Source organism: Homo sapiens, chromosome 8 (genome assembly GCF_000001405.40).
Source record: "Homo sapiens chromosome 8, GRCh38.p14 Primary Assembly".
NCBI lineage: Eukaryota > Metazoa > Chordata > Mammalia > Primates > Hominidae > Homo > Homo sapiens.
In genome coordinates, this window is record NC_000008.11 from 118,759,030 (window position 1) to 118,778,564 (window position 19,535).

The 19,535-nt window shown below is 37.8% G+C and overlaps 1 pseudogene; it reads right to left on the reverse strand.

The window, feature by feature from the left end:
- RPS26P35 (ribosomal protein S26 pseudogene 35) lies at window positions 2,754-3,203 on the reverse strand (annotated as a pseudogene).

Below are 19,535 nucleotides of genomic sequence, written 5' to 3' on the forward strand. Positions count from 1 at the left end.
TTAAGATGGCACAAAATAGCTTTAACATCTTACATTAAGTCATTTAAATTCTTTCAGTCTTAGTTATATCATTATGATTTCTGTGCTCTTATGTGACACACAATTTCATTAGACAAGAATTCTTTTGAAATTGATGAACATGGCCAGAATTGGAGGGAGCAATGGGAAATGAAGATCCAGACTTCAAAGTCATAGAAGATTAGTAGCAAAGAGTTAAAAGTTCGAACTGACCTAGGCTCAAATTCTGGCTTTACAATATACCAGCAAATGACATTGGGAAAATTTCTCTGTGCCCATTTCCTCACAAATTAAACTGAAGGTAATAACAGGTACCTAAACTGTGAATGTGGTGAATGTTAAATGTGATAATATGTGTTAATTGCTTAATGATGCCTGGTAACCAGGAAGGGCTCAAAATGAGGTAGAAAATACAGTGGAATATATCTATTCATATAAGAGACACAATTTTCTTTTTACTTTTTTCAAGTTATGTTTTTCCCCCAGATGGGGACAAAACAGGTTTTGAGCATGTTGGCAGAAAAAACACAAGTAAATATGGTAGTGATATAGCAAGACACAGTAGACACAGCATTTCACAGCAGGAAGAACGGAAGACACAAGAATTGAGCAAGCAAAAGAGGAATATTATTCAGACATGGAACTTGTCAGTGCAATGGCTAAAAATACTGTGGGTTAATCAAAGAAACTGAGTTGTTCTGTGGGCTAGAAACCCTATGATTTATAAAACACAGTACATCATCTGTCAATGGCTGTTCTGTATATAACCTATGGTCTCTCTATTTCCAGAATTACCCTGATTTTCTAGCCTCATTGGGGCTACTGATTGAGCTTTGTGAATGTTTTTCTGTGAGCATCTTGAGTGAAGAATCACTTAGACCACATTGTCACTGCTTCCCCAAACTCAAAATTATGTTCAGGGTTGACAACATCTGTACTTTTGTAGCCCTCTCATGGGTTGACATTTTGTCAAACTCTCATGGGTAGACAAAATCCCCCATCTGCATGCAGTGTTTAAGTTAATGTGAGAAAATGAAGGTTTCAGAAAGGAGCAACAGTGTACCTGAAGACAAAACTTTGGACATGTTTTATATTCATTCAGGGCCGTCATGTTTTCTTAGGACTGTCAGGGATAGCTTCACAGTCATGACTGTAATCTCTGTACCTAGCCCACAAACACTCCATTCTTTTAAAATGGTCAATTTGCTTTAAAAGTTACTAGTTTTTTGCCTCCTTCTACTGTGTGCCAAACACTATGTCAGGTGCCATGGCTGTAACGATAAATAAGACATGGTCTTTACACTTACGGAGCACACAGTTTCAACACATAACATATTGCCATGTCCCAAGTTTTGTATTCAAGTACATGAAATCAGCCAAATTAGATAATCAACAAATACTTATGAATTGCTTTTTATGTGCTGAATTAGATCATGATCCCTGGCCATAGTGGCAGTCCAGCAGTGAGGCACAGGAAGTGGTGTTTAGAGGGAAAGAGTGACCTAATGATGACAAGTTGAGATGATGGAGACAAATTCCCTACCTTCCAGAAGGAAGGTAGATGATGGGGGAGAAAGAAGTGGAAGAGGAATGATTCTATGCTGTAATGGTTATAAGCACTGGTACAACTGTGGTGGGGTGAGCACCCCACCATGAGCATGCTCAGAAGCCCCCTGCTGCAGACACACTCAGGCTCCCCTGCCAGTCAACGAAAGCTGACGAAGGCCATGCCAGGCTGGGTGGACTCAGATTCAGGTTCTTGGCTGTGAGTCTCCAGGGGCCTGACATCTGCCTCTGGCCAGACAAGAAGCTGATGGTGCCCTTGTGGCCCCATTCGTAAAACGAATTTTGCTCAGAGTCTAGTAGGTTTCATTAAACTTTTGAAACACCAGTACTTAGACTTCAAAAGAACGCCTCAGGGCTCTGGTCTCCTTCCTGTGCACTTAGCACATCTGATTTTGCCTTATTCTCCTGGTAAAGTTTTTGTTAAAGTTAGTTGTTAGCATGAGTAACATCATGAAGAAGTGGCACAAAAGCATGCAAAACTTGTCTGGGCTCAAAATATATCACAGACAAATTCTATTCAAAGTGGTGGTTTTCATGGTCACATTATTCTATAATCATTTACTGTCTTAGACTAGTGGGTCTGGTGTTCCACCTTGACTTTGTGTACTCTCATTCCACACAAACACTCATAGGCATAGAGTGCAGGTGGCCCCATGTCAGGTCCTAGGAGTGTCCCTGTATGAGCCATCCCATGTGGACACACACAAAGGAGTTGGGAGGAGATGAAAGTGCCTTTTTGGTAAAAGGCACATTTGATCTTTCACAACTACCACAGAGGACAAGGCAGGTTTCCTGGAAGAAGCACATGGGAGGGAAAAGGAAAATTAGAAGGCTTCATCTGAGAAGTTGAGGCTAAGCTTGAATTCCTAATTGCCAGAGGTCGTTTCCAAGAAGCATGTCTGTCTGTGGTGTACCAGCTTTCAGCTGGGTGGCTCCTAGATCATGTCTCTTTCGTCAACCAGGCTGATGGCACCAGCACCAGTAGCTTCCTTCCAGGAATGCATTGCCCATCCTCTCTGGTTTTCTGTTGAGTTGGCCTGGCCCTGCTTAAGAGAAAAATAATTGGTATTCTTTCCTCCTGTGTCGGGCAGTAATTTCCTTTTGAGCCATCCCTTACAACAGGGCCAGCCCTCTGCAAAATTATGCAGTAGACAGTTTGCTTTTTTTTTTTAAGTACAATTTCCATTTTATTTTTCTCCAGAGAATAGTCTATCTTCAGTCTTTAAGAACTCAGCTCCTTACATGGGCTTTGGTGGGGGACGTGGGGCAGCACCCACAGGTCTAAATCAAGGTGGGGGTGTTCGGTCCTTGCGGGCTTCATGAGATCGATTCCTGACTACTTTGCTGTGAATTGCACAACTCACACAGTAAGGTAGCTTCACATACAGCTTGGGAAGCTCATTGGCATCGAAGACGCTCGCTTCAGAAATGTCCCTGATTGCTGCGGCCTCCACTATGTTTCGAATGATGAATTTCTTAATGGCCTTGTCCTTGGGCATGCATCGGGCACAGTTAGTGCAGCGAATAGGCTGCACGTGGCCGCGGCCCTTTTTGGTGTGACCGTTGTTCCTTCTTTTCTTTGTCATCTTGGAGGTACGGACCGAAGAGAGGAGTGACTGTTTGCTTTTAAGCATTTAATTTTTTTCTTTTTTCTGGTGACCATCAGCCACATTAGCCTTCTCCCATTGGCCCAAACTTTCAGGACCATTGTTTTTTCTTAGGACAGTCAGGGATAGCTTCACAGTCATGACTATGGTACCTGTATCCAGCTCACAAACACTCCTTCCTTTTAAAATTGTTGATTTGTTTTAAAAGTTACCAGTTTTTTGCCTCATTCTACCATGTGCCAAACACTATGCCAGGTGCCATGGCTACAACAACAAATAAGACATGGTCTCTACACTTACAGAACACACAGTTTCATGAGACAAATAGGCAAGAATATCCAGTGTCACAACAAAGCTCCAACGGCATGAGACAGCATAAAACGTTGGAAGAAATGTCACTGTGGCATAGCATGGATAGCCCCTAAAGACAGAGGATTGTTCTGGAAAGGCCATTAAGGAAGCATCCTGTAAGGATAGGGATATGTGTAAGCCTTATTCCGAGGGCTGTGGGAGACCCCAAAGAAAGATATGCAAGAAGATGATGAGAACAGATTTGCAGGTTAGCAAATTGTCTCTTTAAAGCATAGTCAGGAGACAAGACCACTTAGTTCATATCAGAAATCCAGATGAGGAATTGGATGGCCTAGGATGAAGTAGTGGTAGTGTGGATAGAGAGGAGAGGACAGATTTGAGAGATATTTAGGAAACAGACATTGCCTGTATTGGTAATTTCTTATGCCAAAGCTTGGAGAGATGGTGAAAGAGATAGAGGAGTCTTGAATGGCTCTAAGAATTATGTCACAGGTGAGGGCATGGTGATGTCTTCCCAGAAACATGGTATGCACTAAATGGAATTGATTGAAGTCTGTTATTTTGATGGTAGTGGGTATAGATAGGGCTTAACTCAAACTCCCAAATTTATTAATCACTTCATATATTACTTTCTTATCAAAATGGCATTAAATTGATTTCATTAAGTTAAAATGTCTCTTTTTTATACCATTAAAGAATTTAGATAATGCTGGCAGTTTTAGAGACCATGAAAAATCAATTGAAGAAATGTTCTTTCATTGGCTGGGTGCTTGGGTGGAGCAGAGTGTGGAGCTGCCTGGAAGAATTTGCATAATCTGGTCTCTGGCCATTAGGTTTAGATGTGACCGTCACCCTCCCTGCACACTTAATTTTTCTCTCACTTTTTTTCTCCAATTTCTTTCCCCTCCAGCCTTAAATTTGTTATTTTATTCCTTCCTATTCCAGCATTGCCAAACTCTCCTCTCTGTACAATGTGCTCTGGCTACAGCACAACCTCCCAGCTTTGTGTATTTGTAAAATAAAAGGAAAAGAATGGGCACTTCTTTTTCATGGATGCAGGATTCAGACAGAATCAACATTGCTACCACAGAAGACATTTGGGGTAACAGGTGGCTGCTGAACCAAATAAGAATTCCCATAGCCCTGCTATTTCCCAGGCAGATAAGCTCAATAGTGTTTGACAGAGCTAGGGAAACAGGACACTTGGGAAATAAAAAAGCTTTTTATATGTTAAAAAAAATCTTTGTGTCCCCTGGTTCTTTTATTTCTGTCAAAGCAACCCTTAAATACTCATTTTTCTTTCTCTCCTATTTCTTGATCTGTAGGTAGTAGGTAAAAGCCTGAATTCCCAAATATCCTACTCCTACAAAAGTTATATATATTTTATATATATATATATCCCTCAAGGGGTCTTTTGAAATGCCTAAAATAATTTATTTGCTTATACAATTGGAAAAAGCTGGTTTTAGAACCAGGCAAATTGAGTAGGAGACTTACTTCTAATGGCACTAAAACCTTCTAAAATAAATTCTGAGAAAATTGCCTTCATTTAGGAGGTAAACTAAAAGACATCTATCACCACCACCTGAGGAAATTCCCCAGGCCCTTGACCTTCCCTGAAATTCCTATTGTGGCAGCTCCTGCATCTCTGATTCTGGCAGCTGCCTGATTCTTGAATTGTTCTTTGCTCAATTAAACTCTGTTAAAGTTAATTTGTCTAATGTTTTCCTTCTTAGAGAAGATGTCAGAGTGAGATTTGCAATAGACTCCCAGCAGCCCCCAGGAGCACCAAGTGAGATGCCTGCCAGGCCCACTGTGTCCACTGCCCTCTGGTAGCACCTGAGGATCATGGGTAAGTTCTCTGATTCCAAAGCTGCATGGATTTGTATTTTGAGCTTTCCAAGTTTGAGGAAATTTTGGATCTAAACTGGGTTCAGCAGTCATGACAGAAATTGGACTGGGTCCAAGATTGTACTGGATCTGATCATTAACTAGATTGGATCCATTTAGAGGCCTCAGATGCCTGACTGGATCAAACAGAAACTGGAAGTAAATGGCAATACTGCAAGGGCTGGGAACTCTGGCTTTAGGAAATTCATGGGATTTTTGTGTTCTGTCCTCTTTCTATCTTTTTTTCTAATGTGCTTAGGTAGGGAAAATCATTGGTTAAGTTGATCAAGGGTATCTGAGGGTCAAAGTCCAGATTCAACATAAAAATGAGACCCCTTAATTTCTGAAGAACTGAATACTCCACCTTCTGGCTATGCCTGCATTTACATGTATAAGTATTAGGCCCTGGAAGCAGCAAACACTTAGAAAAATGGCAAAATCTTACTAACGGTAACTTTAAACTATGGTAGAACAGTCCTAGTGAATAACACTGTACTTTAAGCAGTGCATTTAAAAGTGAGGGCTAATGAATTAGACTCACTCTAGGATGTGAGGGAAAAGAGATAGCAATAGACTCTTCTCAGGCATTAAAGAAGAAATAGCAATGAATGTGAATAGAAAAATGTTCAATAAACAATGTGGAACCAGAAATCTTGCAAGTTTTGTAGCTTAAATATAACAGCGAGACAAATACTTTCACCATTCATATGATCAGATATCTAGCTGCCTAGCGCTCTTCATCATGTGGTGGGAAGAGCATATCCACTTGTTATGCAATGGACCTAGGAAGTGGTTTCAGATTGGTTTTGGCATCTTTGAGATGGTTTTGGATAAGATTCTGTTATGAAAGCTAAACACAAGTAATGATTGCATGCTATAAGAACAGCCTGAATTCATTGGCTGTTCAATCCCCTAAACCCACACGGAAATCCTGCAGGGCAATTGATGTCAGAGACAATTTAGAAAGAAAAGGATAAGCGTTAGCTACTGAAAACTATGGAAATGGCTTTGGGTCTCAATTCTGCTGATGAGCAACACAATTGCTATGATAACTGACAATGCTCAGTTCAGCTTGGCAGAGACACAGACCTTGGATGACTTTATCCAAGTAACATGCCAGGAACCCCCCCACCAAAAAAAATCAAATGACATAATAGGGGGTAAGCATAGGAGAGAGAGGTCACAAGAACCTTACTCCAATGGAGTTAAAAGTCGGGAGAGATATCCTGTTTGCCCACTCAAATTTTCTAGCTGAGACTGAAAACCAGTGAATTCATCAAATGTTTTATAAAATAATAAAATTCAGTAACCAATAATAGCTGGTAATTGAGTTGGAGAAAGAAGAGGGCATATTCATTTAAAAGAAAATTTTGCAGAAATTCTTTGTTCTTCTTAAATTTTATCAAAATTACCAGCACAATAAAATAATAAGACTGGTTTTCTTAAAAGCAATGACTACCTATTTTCAACTTTGTATTCTCAGCACCCAGGACAGTTTCTGGCATAGAATAGGTGCTCAATAAATGTCTGTGAGTGGAATGATATGTGATCAAATGGCTACATTTATACACAGACACCCACGTATCACATTCACAATATTCACATGATAATACCTACAGTAATATAAACTTTGTCTACTCATTATTTATGACCAAAAATCAGCAAGGTTTTTCTGTAAGAGTCCAGATATCAAATATCTTAAGCACCTCAGGATAAAAGACAAAATTGAGAATATTATGTAGGTGATTATATAGCAAATATACAGCAAAAAAAGATTTTTATTGATGGAATTCAAAGTATAATAATAATCACATACACATTTCTGTAACGGGAAGATAAGAATGGAACTCTTTGGGGGGAAAACATTTTATTTAATCTGGGTTTAAACTGATCAAAAATGTTTTTGCAAATGTTATCTGTTAATGCTGATTTGTAATGAGATTTTAGTTATTTCATTTAGAATTTTAATTTTATATGTTTTGCATGTCATGCAATACTATTAGTCATTTAACTTTTTTCTCCCATTTATAGCTGTAAAAGTAATTCTTAGCTCTCAGGCCATGTAAATACAGGTGACAGAGTGAATTTAGTTCATTGGCAGCATTTTGCTAATCCCTCATCTATAAATACTTGGTTATGAAAAGCATTTGATTGGTTTATTTATTGATTGATTTTTGAACCTGTCATGTAAGTAAATGGAATTAGGAACGTTGTATATAATTACACTATTTGCAATATCTCATGTACCAGAAAAGTCCCCATATTTGAGAATTTGCTTTGTTTTTAAAACAATGCTTTCATGCGGGAACTGGTCTGAGAACCACGAAAAAAAAATCATCTTGGTAACCGATTGATTAACCTTGTAGCTTTGCCCCTAAACTGAGTATGATTCTTAGCAAGATTGGGTAGAGGGCAAGAATTTCACAAGAACTTTCCCTGGGATAAAAATACAATGACAAGGACAGAATCCTAAGGAACTGCCAAGTTCACTAGATGACCAAATTTGAAGCTATTTTTTCACATTGTCCTTTGGTCGGAAATACTTGAAATGCTTCTGTGTGTTGTAAGCCTTATTCCCCACTGTCACTTCCAGGCTGTCTCTCTTCCTTCCTCCCTCAAAACCCCAGATTCTTTGATGTGCATGTCATAGACTTCATTATCCATTACCCTTCCTTGTTGTTTTCATATCTCTCCCTCCAAATGTCTTCTCCTCATTGTGTTCTCATCACCTGGATTCACCTATGCCACTGTCAATCACTGCATAGGATGGTGCTTCAGGACAGAGAATCTGGAAGCAGACTGATTTGATTAAAAGCATGTCTGTGTCACTTACTAGCTATGCTCTGTCGCTTGAATTATGAAATGAGTATAACAATAGTACCTACCTGTAAGGACACTGTGATAATTAAATGAGATTTTAAAAAAAGATAAGTGCTTAGAACAGTTCCTGTTATAGAGTGAATACTTAACATATTCAATAACTTCACCATTTAAAAATAAAGTAATAAATACATGATATAAATGCAAATAGTACCAACACTTACTGAATGCTTACGATATGCTAGGCACTGTCGAAAGCATTTTACATAATGAACATTTTTAGATTTCACAACAACCCTATGAATTGGTTTATATTATTATCCTCCTTTTTAAGAAGAAGAAACCAAGAACTATAGATGTGAACTACCTTATCCAAGGTTAACAGCAAATAAGTGATGAATCCAAGAAGTGAATAGTCCATCCCACTTCCTGGTGTCCCAACTATTTTTAGCTTCAACTATCTTTTTCTGCATTCTAGTTCAGCCATTTTGTCATCATCAATAGTTATAGCACCTTCAACATTTTAATTCCAACCCTCTTCTCTGACCATCTTCTGCACACCTTCAATTTTTCAGTGACGTCCTTTTATATTCCCCAAACAAACATTCTTTGACCTCATTCAAACTTTAAACCCATTGACCTGACTCCTTTTCACCATCTGTCACCTCTATTCAGTTCTTACATCTCTTTCCCCTGTGCAGCCTAAAATTTTCATGGGCTAGTTCTGTAACACTCTTTTAAAAGCACCCTTAACTCCTTTTCTTCATCTTCCCTCCATTATACTATTTATCTGGCAAAACCCCAAACTCACCCAACCAAATTATCCACTTCTTCTGTGCCAATGCTATAACAGTAAAAATATTGCTAAAAATCTCAATGTTACTAGGCTTCCTCATAATATTTCTCAAGAAAATGCACTTCCTTTCTCTATGAGATTCTCACACATTCTCCTCTCTCCCCAAATTGCAAACATCTCTATCTGCCTACTCTCTTTTCATAACACTGAAGCTCACTTTAGAAAGAAAAGAAATATAGTTGCATAAGAACTATCATTTTTTCCTACTAACAATTCAATCAATCTTTCAGCATTTGTATTCAGCTACTGACTTATCCCTTCTATTAAAAGGTTGTACATACTTCTGTTGCAAAGAGAAAACTCTTTATCAGTAACTTAAATCCTTTCCATCTCATTTTCAGCAGGAGTTGGATCATGTAATATTCACATTTCCTACATCATTTTCTTTCCCTTTTCAGGATTATTCATATTGGCCTAGAAATATGCCACAATATCACCTATCTTAAAAATAAAATTAAAACTAACTCAAACTTCTTTGACCCTATATTCTTCTCTGGAAACTATTGGATATATCTTTTTCCCATTTACATCAATATCCCTTAAAATATAGTTTGTGTGTACTGTCTTTATTTCCTCATCTAATTTCTCTCCATGTTTGCTTTAATAGAATTTTAAATCTTACACTCTACTGAAATTGTCTTTATAAAACTGTAGATAGATGCTGTTGGTTATTTATCCCAAAGATATTTTCACTCCCTTTCTTTTATTCTTCCTTCTCCTCTTGCTCTCCTCCTCCCTCTTCTTTTTCATTTTTGTTTTCTTCTACCCCTTCTTTTAGGTGAGACTTTATAATACTTGGACTTTTCTTCCATGTGATAAGTAAACATAACCAACCCCCTTCTCAGTCCTGTGGTATAAATTGTAATTGATCATAGCCAAACAGGGTAATTTTTCTTGCCAATCACTTGCCAACTTCAGTTGAAGAATAATCTAGGCCGGTGAGTATTGAGTGAAAGTCTGCTGGGGCACTTCTGGGTACTATCTAATAAAGAGACAAGGATGGAAGAAAACGTCCTTTGTGGGGGATGTGATCATGCCTTCTGAACAATCCTGAGGTGAAGTGACTGTGACAGGTGTGCAAGAAGTACCATGAAGAAGAACGTGTTTCTGATAGATCATTCTGGAAAACTCTCATGTTAGTCAGGCTAGGAGATTAATGGAATTTGGAATTGATGAGTAATAAGAAAAGAGATTAGAAAGGCTGAGGCAAGGTTTCTTAATGAGTTTCAACTAGTTGGTCTCCAGGATGCTTATTTAAATAATCTTGGTCACTTTTCAAACAATGCTTTTGATTGCTACTCTCAAAGCAGCATTCTTTTCTTTTCTTTTTTTTTTTTTTTTTTTGTTATTTGACATGTGCCATTAACAGAGATGGTAGGACACAGAAAATGAAGAAAATAAAACTTAGGAGTCAGCTGTTTGAGAAGTGAGGAATATAAATATATAACCACTCTTTCTATCCCTGTAAGAGGAGAAAAAAGCAAGTTATGATGTTGGTTTCAACGCAATATAGGAAATCATCATGTTTTTTGTTTATTAATACACTTTTTTTAGAGCTGTTGTAGTTCACAGCAAAATTAAGCAGAAAGTACAGAGAGTTCCTATATTCCTCCTTTCTCCCACACATACACAACCATTTCTATTGTCAATATTCTACACCAGAGTGGCACATTTGTTAAAATCTTTCTTCACTTAGTAATATGCGTTTAAGTCTCCTGCATGTTTTTCATGGTTTGATAACTCATTTCTTTTTAGTGCTGAATAATATTCTATTGTCTGGATGTACCACAGTATCCACTCACCTACTGAAGGAAATTTTCATTGCTTCCAAATTTTGTCAATTATGAGAAAAAGTGTTATAAACATCTACGTGCAGGTTTTTCTGTAGACACATATTTTAAAATTCTTTTGGGTAAGTCCCAAGGCGTGTGATTGCTGGATTGTATGGTAAGAGTATGTTTAGTTTTTGTAAGAACCTGACAAACTTTCCTCCAAGATGGCTGTACCATTTTGTATTCCAACCAGTAACTAATGAGAGTTCCTCTTGCTCCACATCCTTGCCAGCATTTGGTATGGTAAGTGTTTTGGATTTTGGCAACTATAAGAGGTGTGTAGTTCTATATTGTTGTTATTCAAATTTTCAATTCCCTAATGACATATGATATTGAACATCTTTTCCTATGTTTACTTGCCATCTGTACATATTCCTTAGTGAGGTGGCTCTTTAGGGCTTTTGCTAATTTTTAAATTGGGTTCATTTTCTTATTGTGGAGTTTTAAGAGTTATTTGTATGTTTGGACAGAGGTCCTTTATTAGAAGTGTCTTTTGCAATATTTTCTCTTGGTCTGTGGCTTGTCATCCCATTCTCTTGACATTGTCTTTCCAATTCCTGTATTTTAAAGTGAAAATGTAACAATTTATTTTTATGCACTTGCATTGACATACCTCAGGTTTAAGGGCATCTCAAAGCCATTTGTAAACTTCATCATTGCTCCATCATCTGACTCTGATTCTCTGGATAATAAGTGTCTTTGGGCCAACCAATCCAGGCAGTCAATCCAGATGGTCCCTAAGGTATTACAATGTCTTTCATTCAATATATTTGCCAAAATTAGAGCAAGTAAAAATATGCTCGTGTTGAAGGAAATCTAGCCCTAAATGAGGTAAAAAAAGACAAAGTTCTAACACCTGTCTTTTAAATCTATATTAACATGACACAAGTATGAAATGAATCAACTTTATCTCCTCCTGCCACAACAAAGAGAAATACAAGTTACCTACTTTATACTGATAACCTTGTCATATTGTCTAAGCGTAAACTTAGGAAGCAGTATGGGTCTTTTGGCATATTATGTCTGTAAAGAACAACTCAGCATAAAATTCTGCGAAACAAAACATTATTGTATTTGGTAGACATTCAATCTTAAATATCCTCAGGCAACAAGTCAATTTATTATGTCTTTTGTAGGGATTCAGTCACTTTCAGCACACAGTGGATTTATTCAGGGATGCATTTTACTCTTAATTCATTTTGATGGCTTCTTGGGATCTAGTTTTTAAAATGAGATGTTTGCTAGTTTTATGTTTTATATATCGATTGTCTTTTATAGATGAGACAGATGGCCACACACACATGCACCTGCGTACATACACATGCACGTGCACACACATGCAGCTATAAGATTAAACTTAAACAAGACTAAATCTTTGTGTGTTATGTTGTGTTGTGCTGAATGTGGGGTTTCAGATAAGTGCACATGAAAAGATCAAAGCTCTGTTCTGAGAAACAAAGTGCTAACTTTACCTTTAGGCCTCCCTGCTGCTCTACCTGTACTAACTATTGTAATTAATTTGTAATGCATGGCATCTTTCCATTTTTGCCTCAGCTGCCAGGAAACCAAATACCACTCACCACCTGGAATAGGAATTGATTATTTTACTTTACCCTAGCCTCTATACAAGCCTCACTTGCCTTTGGGTCTATTGAATAATTTTTGTCTCATATATTGATGTGTTTGAATGCATTTTTGCTTCGTTGTAAACATACAATAGCTTTTAATCAGTAGCTCAAGGTGCCTCATAGAAAGAACCATTGTTTCATTTATTAAAACAACACGTAAAAAAAATCACATGTTCATTTCCCGAAATATGGAGTGAATTTCTTCAAGCCTTGGAAGAAATTTACATTTACATGTAATAAAGCTCCTCAGACTGGTAAATTCCCTGAGATTATCATAACAGACCTGTTAAGTCGAACTCAGAAGAGGTTTCTATTTTGAGAGAATACTGCTTTTGGCTGCCAGGAGAGCCTTCTGTAGACATCTTTTTGAAAATGGGGTAACTCATATGAATTCATCATGGCCAGAAGAAATAAAGATTCTTAGTGTGTGATGTAGGTGCTTTACTGGAAGGATGGTAAGTCTGGCTTAATATTGCTTGCAAAAATTATTTATGGTTGGCACTCTTAATGTGTTTAAAAAGTCTCTTTTCACGTTTGGTTAAATGTTTCTGTCTTGCTTTTTATAATTTATTTGAAATCTACCTTTGAAATCCTCAAAATAAGGTTGTTGTTGGACAGGCCTCTATCTGAAATCCAGGAACTATTTCTCATTTTGACCCTAGTTAGAACCCACATCATGTATATTAATACAGTATTCTTGTTCTAAAGTATATTTTGTTTCTCAGTTGTGGCTGGGGCTTTTATTAACATTCTTAAAGCAATAAATCATCCTTCTTATTGGAGTAAGTTAATTGTGTCTTATAATGAAGAGCTCTAAACTTAATTTGTCAAATTTATGTTTGTACACAGGCCACCCCACTGAAAGGAGATAAGCTTAAGGAGGAATATCTTTTCAAAGAACTATGTTGAATGAGCTCTTTAAAAATCTTTCCTCACTAATTGCATTTTAAACAACTTAATTTTGTAAATGTTATTTTTGCTGGAGGTATGCACAATCTTTCTACTAATATTCACGCATCTACTTCATCATATGCCATTTTCTATTGGTTAGAATGCCCATCTTACTGACATCACTGTCTCTTAGATAAAAAAATACATAGTCATCAGCTTGTTTTATTACTTCCCATTAGAATGACCTCTCTGTGCCTCTTAGCCTGGATAAATCTTCTGCTCCCTTTCAATCCAGCTAAAATCTCACCATCTTGCAGCTTTACCTAATTACCCCTTATCATTTTGGCAGAACATTATGTACATCATGGAGGTTCCATTAGGGCATGTAATGTGTGCCTCAACTGGGGTCAATACAGGGAAATATTTCCTGGATGTCAAAATTTTGTCCAGCAATAAGAATTACTTAATTTATGATTTGTCTTAGTCAAAATTACAGGCACTGGGATGAGTTTTCTTCTTTTCTTTTTGCAACAACCCCAGTGTGTTATTGCAGGGGATGTTGGTTTCTTTTGCCTTTCCTGAAGCCATTTACCCTTCTTCATGTAATGGCATGTAATTCCTTCTAGTCCTGCCTCTAGGTGTGGATATATAACTGCACAGAGTAAATGAGGTTCATTTCCCAAGCAGAATTTTTGGTAAGGAGAAGTCTTTATTCCACTGAACTTGGGGCTGTGAGTATTTTATCCTTTAGTTCTGGAAGCCATCAAGATGGGAAAACATGCTTGAAAATTAAGCCATTTTAGAAAATAACAGACTTATGGAACATATCACTTCCTGACAACATTGCATACCTGAATCCAGTTGTGCCAAAAGCTAGAGGCTCCTAGGTTTTTCAGGTAGTTAACTCAATATATTTCTTTTATTTTAATGAATTAATTTGCTTGTTTTGCTTAAGCAAGTTTGGATTAATGTTTTCATATTTGTAATTGAAAAAGCTTGGAATATATATAATTATATATATAATTATATACATAATTATTAGTCCTAATTCTATAGGTGGGGAAATAAAACTGAGAGGTTTAGAAAACTGCAATGTTAATAACAAATGAAACTAGAATCAGACATATCTACTTATAGGGTCCATTTTCTTTCTGCTCTGTCATACTGCATTACAAGTTTTTGGTATGTTTTGGCTTCTATGCTGATGCTTTGGCTTCTCCAAAAATTTTTATTTATTCATTTTTTGGTAGATAAAGTCTATGACTTGTAGTTTTATCATTTTCTGCTAGTATTTTGGAGGAAGAGAATGTGAGGGACACAGAAACATTTGTATTCTGATTTCTTATAATAGAAGCTCCATTAATTTTTCTTGAGCTTTCCAGTGATTAACATTCATCTTCTGTGGTCTTTCTTGAGGCTTACAGAACCTTAGTGGACATCAAAGTCATTCTTGTTCACGGAGAGACCTTGTTAGGCTTCGAGTCTGTGCTACTTCAGTGTCCCGTATTTGCAATGCCTATCTCCATCAATTTGGGTTATTTTCAGAAACACAAACAAGGGTTGAGTTAGACTGTCATGAGGACAACTATAATGGGAATATTGGAAAAATTATGATTACTCTTAGGCTGGGTAAGAGACAAGTTTGCATGGAACATCTGAATTTTGTCCCTGGAATTGTCATTGCATTTCTGGGTGGCCTTGGACAAAATTATTTTTTGAAGTTTTGCCAAAAGGAAGGTAATAGGGGTAGGAGAGGAATGAGTGAACAGCTCCAAGTGAATACATTCATTCTTTACAATGTTAAGGCTCTGTATTCCCATTTTCCTGAAATCACTGTGAACTCACAAGTCAGGTCTCAGAGAAAGTCTTTTGACATTTCAAAAATAGACCTTTTAACTTATAGCTAGAAGAATAAAAGCAAAGATAAAAACCAAGCTAGCAGAAAAATGGTCTGGTATACACATAAAGGCAGGTGGACCATTCTGGTCAGTCTGTCATTTACTAAGACCTAATTAGCTAGGCTGTCTTGGTGGCATTTTCAGAAAGGAAACCGGAATCCTTTGCCTGTAAATGTCTCCATTAGCTCAGCGTGTGTTTTCGTTGGCCTTTAGAAAACGCTCTAGGTCTATTATGGTTTTGTTGATGGCTAACAGTGTTCTTGGCGCTGAGTGCGATATAGAAGAAGGCACAGGATCCGCCCAAGGCACTTGCAACCTAAGTTAGTAAAACAAATAACTCGCTATGATTCCTGACCTTGCGGGAAATTGAGTTTAAATATCAGTGGCGCTAGATTCCAGAATATTTCTATTTGTGTTCCTTTGGGATGGGCCCTAATGACATTGGCGGAGCGACTGCATTGCTTGGTGTGCTTCCTTTCTTCCATTTTTAGCGTGTTAGACTTTCTTCCATTTCCAGGGCTTTTTCCATGGCTAAGTTAACCACACATGTTGTCTCTCAGCATCCCTTGTTTTGTTGTAATATTTGCCCTCACTTTAGCTCACTAGAGTCTAATTTCACCTATCTCTACCTACTTAAGGTGATCGAAAAAAAATTCACCCAGATAAACCCTAAACATTTTTTGAAATGTGGGGACAAACGTTTGTTCTTGTATATAATTGTATGAATATCCATGGTATTTTAAATAAAATCATGTATCTTCAATGTGAAGACCAACATAGGCAGGGGTTGAAAAATTGTGCAATATTCTCCGCACATGTAGTTTGTTTTTTTCTATGTTGGCAGAAAAGGAAAAATATTACACCTCAACCTCTCTGATCATACTTTTGGGAAGGGTGGGTAAAGTTGAGAAGGTGGTTGGGGAGATGCCAGGTGACTGGCATCTGTTTTGTTAGGCTGTTTTGGCGTTGCTGTAAAGAAATTCCCGGGGCTGGGTAATTTATAAAGAAAAGACGTTTAATTGGCTCATGGGCTCATGGTTCTGAAGGCTGTACAGTGAGTGTGGTGCTAGCATCTGCTTCTGGTGAGGGTCTCAGGAAGCTTCCAATCATGGCGGAAGGCAAAGGGGAAGCAGACACGTCACATGGCAAGAGGGAGCAAGAGAGCAAGGGCAGGGAGGTCTCAGACTTTTAAACAATCAGATCTCACATGAACTGAGCGAGAATTCACTTAACACTAAGGGGATGGTGCTAAACCATTGATAAGGGATCCACCCACATGATCCAACATCTCCCACCAGGCCCCACCACCGGCACTGGGAATCACATTTCAACATGAGATTTGGAGAGGACAAACATCCAAACTGTATCAATTGGTGAGACAGAACCTGGAAAAGGGAGGAAAGAAATACACAGTTGAAAGCCCGTTTTCATGGCTGGGTCTGGGCTATTGCCAGTGGAAGCCTGTAGGAGAAAGAATAAATAGAGCCATGTAAAAGTTCAGCAAATTGTTGATCTTGCCTCTAGTCAATACACAGCCCCTGCTTTTATAAGCACTTAGAACTATGCAAGGTTTGATATATAAAGCTAATTGAAATTGGCTGATAAAGACTAATCTACATCAATGAAAACAAATGAACGTTTACTGCGTGTGGCAGTGTGGATGAATCTTACAATCATATGTTGAGTAAAGAATGTCAGACTACAAGAGATTAGAGACTGATTAATTCCATTTAAATAAAGTTCAAAAACAGTCTAACTAGCTTGTGGTGTTAGAACTCTGATAATGTTACCCTGAGAGGGCTTGCGACTGGAAGAGAGGGTGATGGAGGTGATGGAGGCTTTGGATGTTTAGAATATTCTATTTATTGGTCAGGGTGAAAGTTATATGGGTGTGCTCCCCTTGTGAAAATTCAGCAAGCAGTATGCTTATCATTTGTGTATTCGTCTCATACCTTTTATTTTCATTTAAAAATATTACTTAAAAATTGCTGTTTACTTAAGAGATGTTTGCATGTACATATGTTGTTATGGAGTCATTGAATACTTCTGCAAAATAACTTAATTTTTTTCAAATTAGTAACTGAATCATATTTGATTTCTGGGAAATATTTGTTAAGTAAATGATTTCCAGTTACAAAAAAAAGGAGCTAGCATGTCTTGGCCAGCAGCCCAGTGGACACCTTAGTATTATGGGTTGGTGTTACCCTCATCATAATCAAAGGCAGTTAAGCTGAGCACTCTTAGTGGAACTGCATATAAGTTCGAGAGGACAGTGGTGGGGCTAGATCCTGGCAATTTCATGGTGAATTAAGAGATTAAAAAAAGAGATATTTACTCCATTGTTCCTCAGTTCCTGAAATGTGTGTGAGCTACTGTCACCAAAGCTTGTCGCCTTCCTTCACTCCAGTAGACCACTTCTAACCAGCATATCTGTGGGGAGAACCTGTCTCCCAACCCCTTCCCTAGCTGGGACATTGTTCTGTCTCTCTCTCCCCAGCTCTATCTATAAGAAAGGAGTAGGCATCTGAAAGATCATGGTTGACCTGGTATATCAGAGGAGATGGCAGAGAATAAATAGAGGAGAGGATTGAGAAGGGAGAGGAGGAGAAAAGAAAATGGAAGAATGGAATAAGGCAAGAGAGACATTGAGGTAGTCTGGAGGTCAACTTCAAAGAGATCCCAACTAGCAGTGACAAAATGATTAGGTTGTCACACTGTCCCATTAAAAAAAATGTTTAATGTATGCTTATTCTGTGCTAGGAACTGCCTACTTTGCCATATCCTCTATATGATTCTATTTCATTTTCATTTCATAGATAATAAAATTGAGGGATCAGGGGGATTTTGAGCACAATACTCCAGCTGCAGTCTAAACCTTCTTAGTCAGAGCCCATGATTAAGAATAATAATGCAATGTGTTGAGTCCCTACAACATCTCAAGTACATTTATTTTTGTCTCGAAAAATTGTTTTTGTTCCTTCTGATCAATAAATGCATATGGCTGAGTCTTGTTATCCGTGCCCATGTGTATCTGCTACTTCTTATTGTCTACGACTTTGTCATTTGGGGTTACATCCAAGAGATGGCCTACAGCTGGGATGGACTTCATGGAGCAACTATATGTCATGTGGACCCTCTGGCCACTCTGCTCTGGACTCATTCCTCCCCAACCAGAGCTTATCTGGAACTGAACCAGCTCCCAAGGGTAAAGACAGGTCACTGAGCAGATGACCTTGGCCTTCAACTGCTGACCTTGATTTGCGTGTACTGGCTTTGAGGGAGGAGGCTTGTGGCTTCCTTTTCCCTGGACTTACACTTAAAGGAGGCTTAGATTGGCTGCACTCCTCTCACTAATGCATGAGAGGTTAGGCGTGCATCATTGGATAGTATGCCACAAACCAATGTGATAGAAATCAATGCTGCCCATATATAAGTGACCAGCTTGGTCATTTACTTCATGCTTTTGTCCCCACAGAAAAATGACAGAAAAGCTTTATATAAACAAGTTACAGAACAATGACAAATATTTCTGTATCAACGGTATGCAAGAATTATGCCAGGTAATTCTGGGGATACAGAGGTGTCATGTTAATAGCTGGAATAAAGAAATTGCTGAGATCAGACTGTGAACCCTATACTAAAAGTCAATTCTGTGCCAAATGAAGGTAATTAGGAAAAAGGAGATACAAATAGGCACATGCTAAGATGAGTGAGATGGTTACTTCACAGTGCAGATAAAATGGTCTTTCCATAGGTCTATAGGAGTGGTCATATCTACATATTTCAAACCAAATACAATGATAATTGGTGGTTTTTGTGAACTGTGTATTCATTTGTTAAATAAGTTAGAAAATGCCAATTTAAGACAAGGTATATAGGTATCTTTACAATAGGATCCTCTAACCATTTTAATGCTAAATTTGAAGTTCTAAGAGAGACATTAATTTTCTAAGTTCTTACACTTTTTGCATGTTGAAAGCATTTTTATGTGTAACATCTTCTAGAACAATCTTTAGGCTGGGAATAATCATTTAATATTTTCAAGTCATCTGCCTTTTATTTTATGTTCTCCTTCCTTTAGGTCTCAAGGAGAAAATCTAGGTGGTACAATGTAGTGAAAAAGTGACCAGGGAGTGGTCCAAGACCTGGACTCATCAGTCAAGGCTGTTTTGGTTTCACTTTTTACGAAAATAAGTTGCCGCTATGTCCTCAACAAA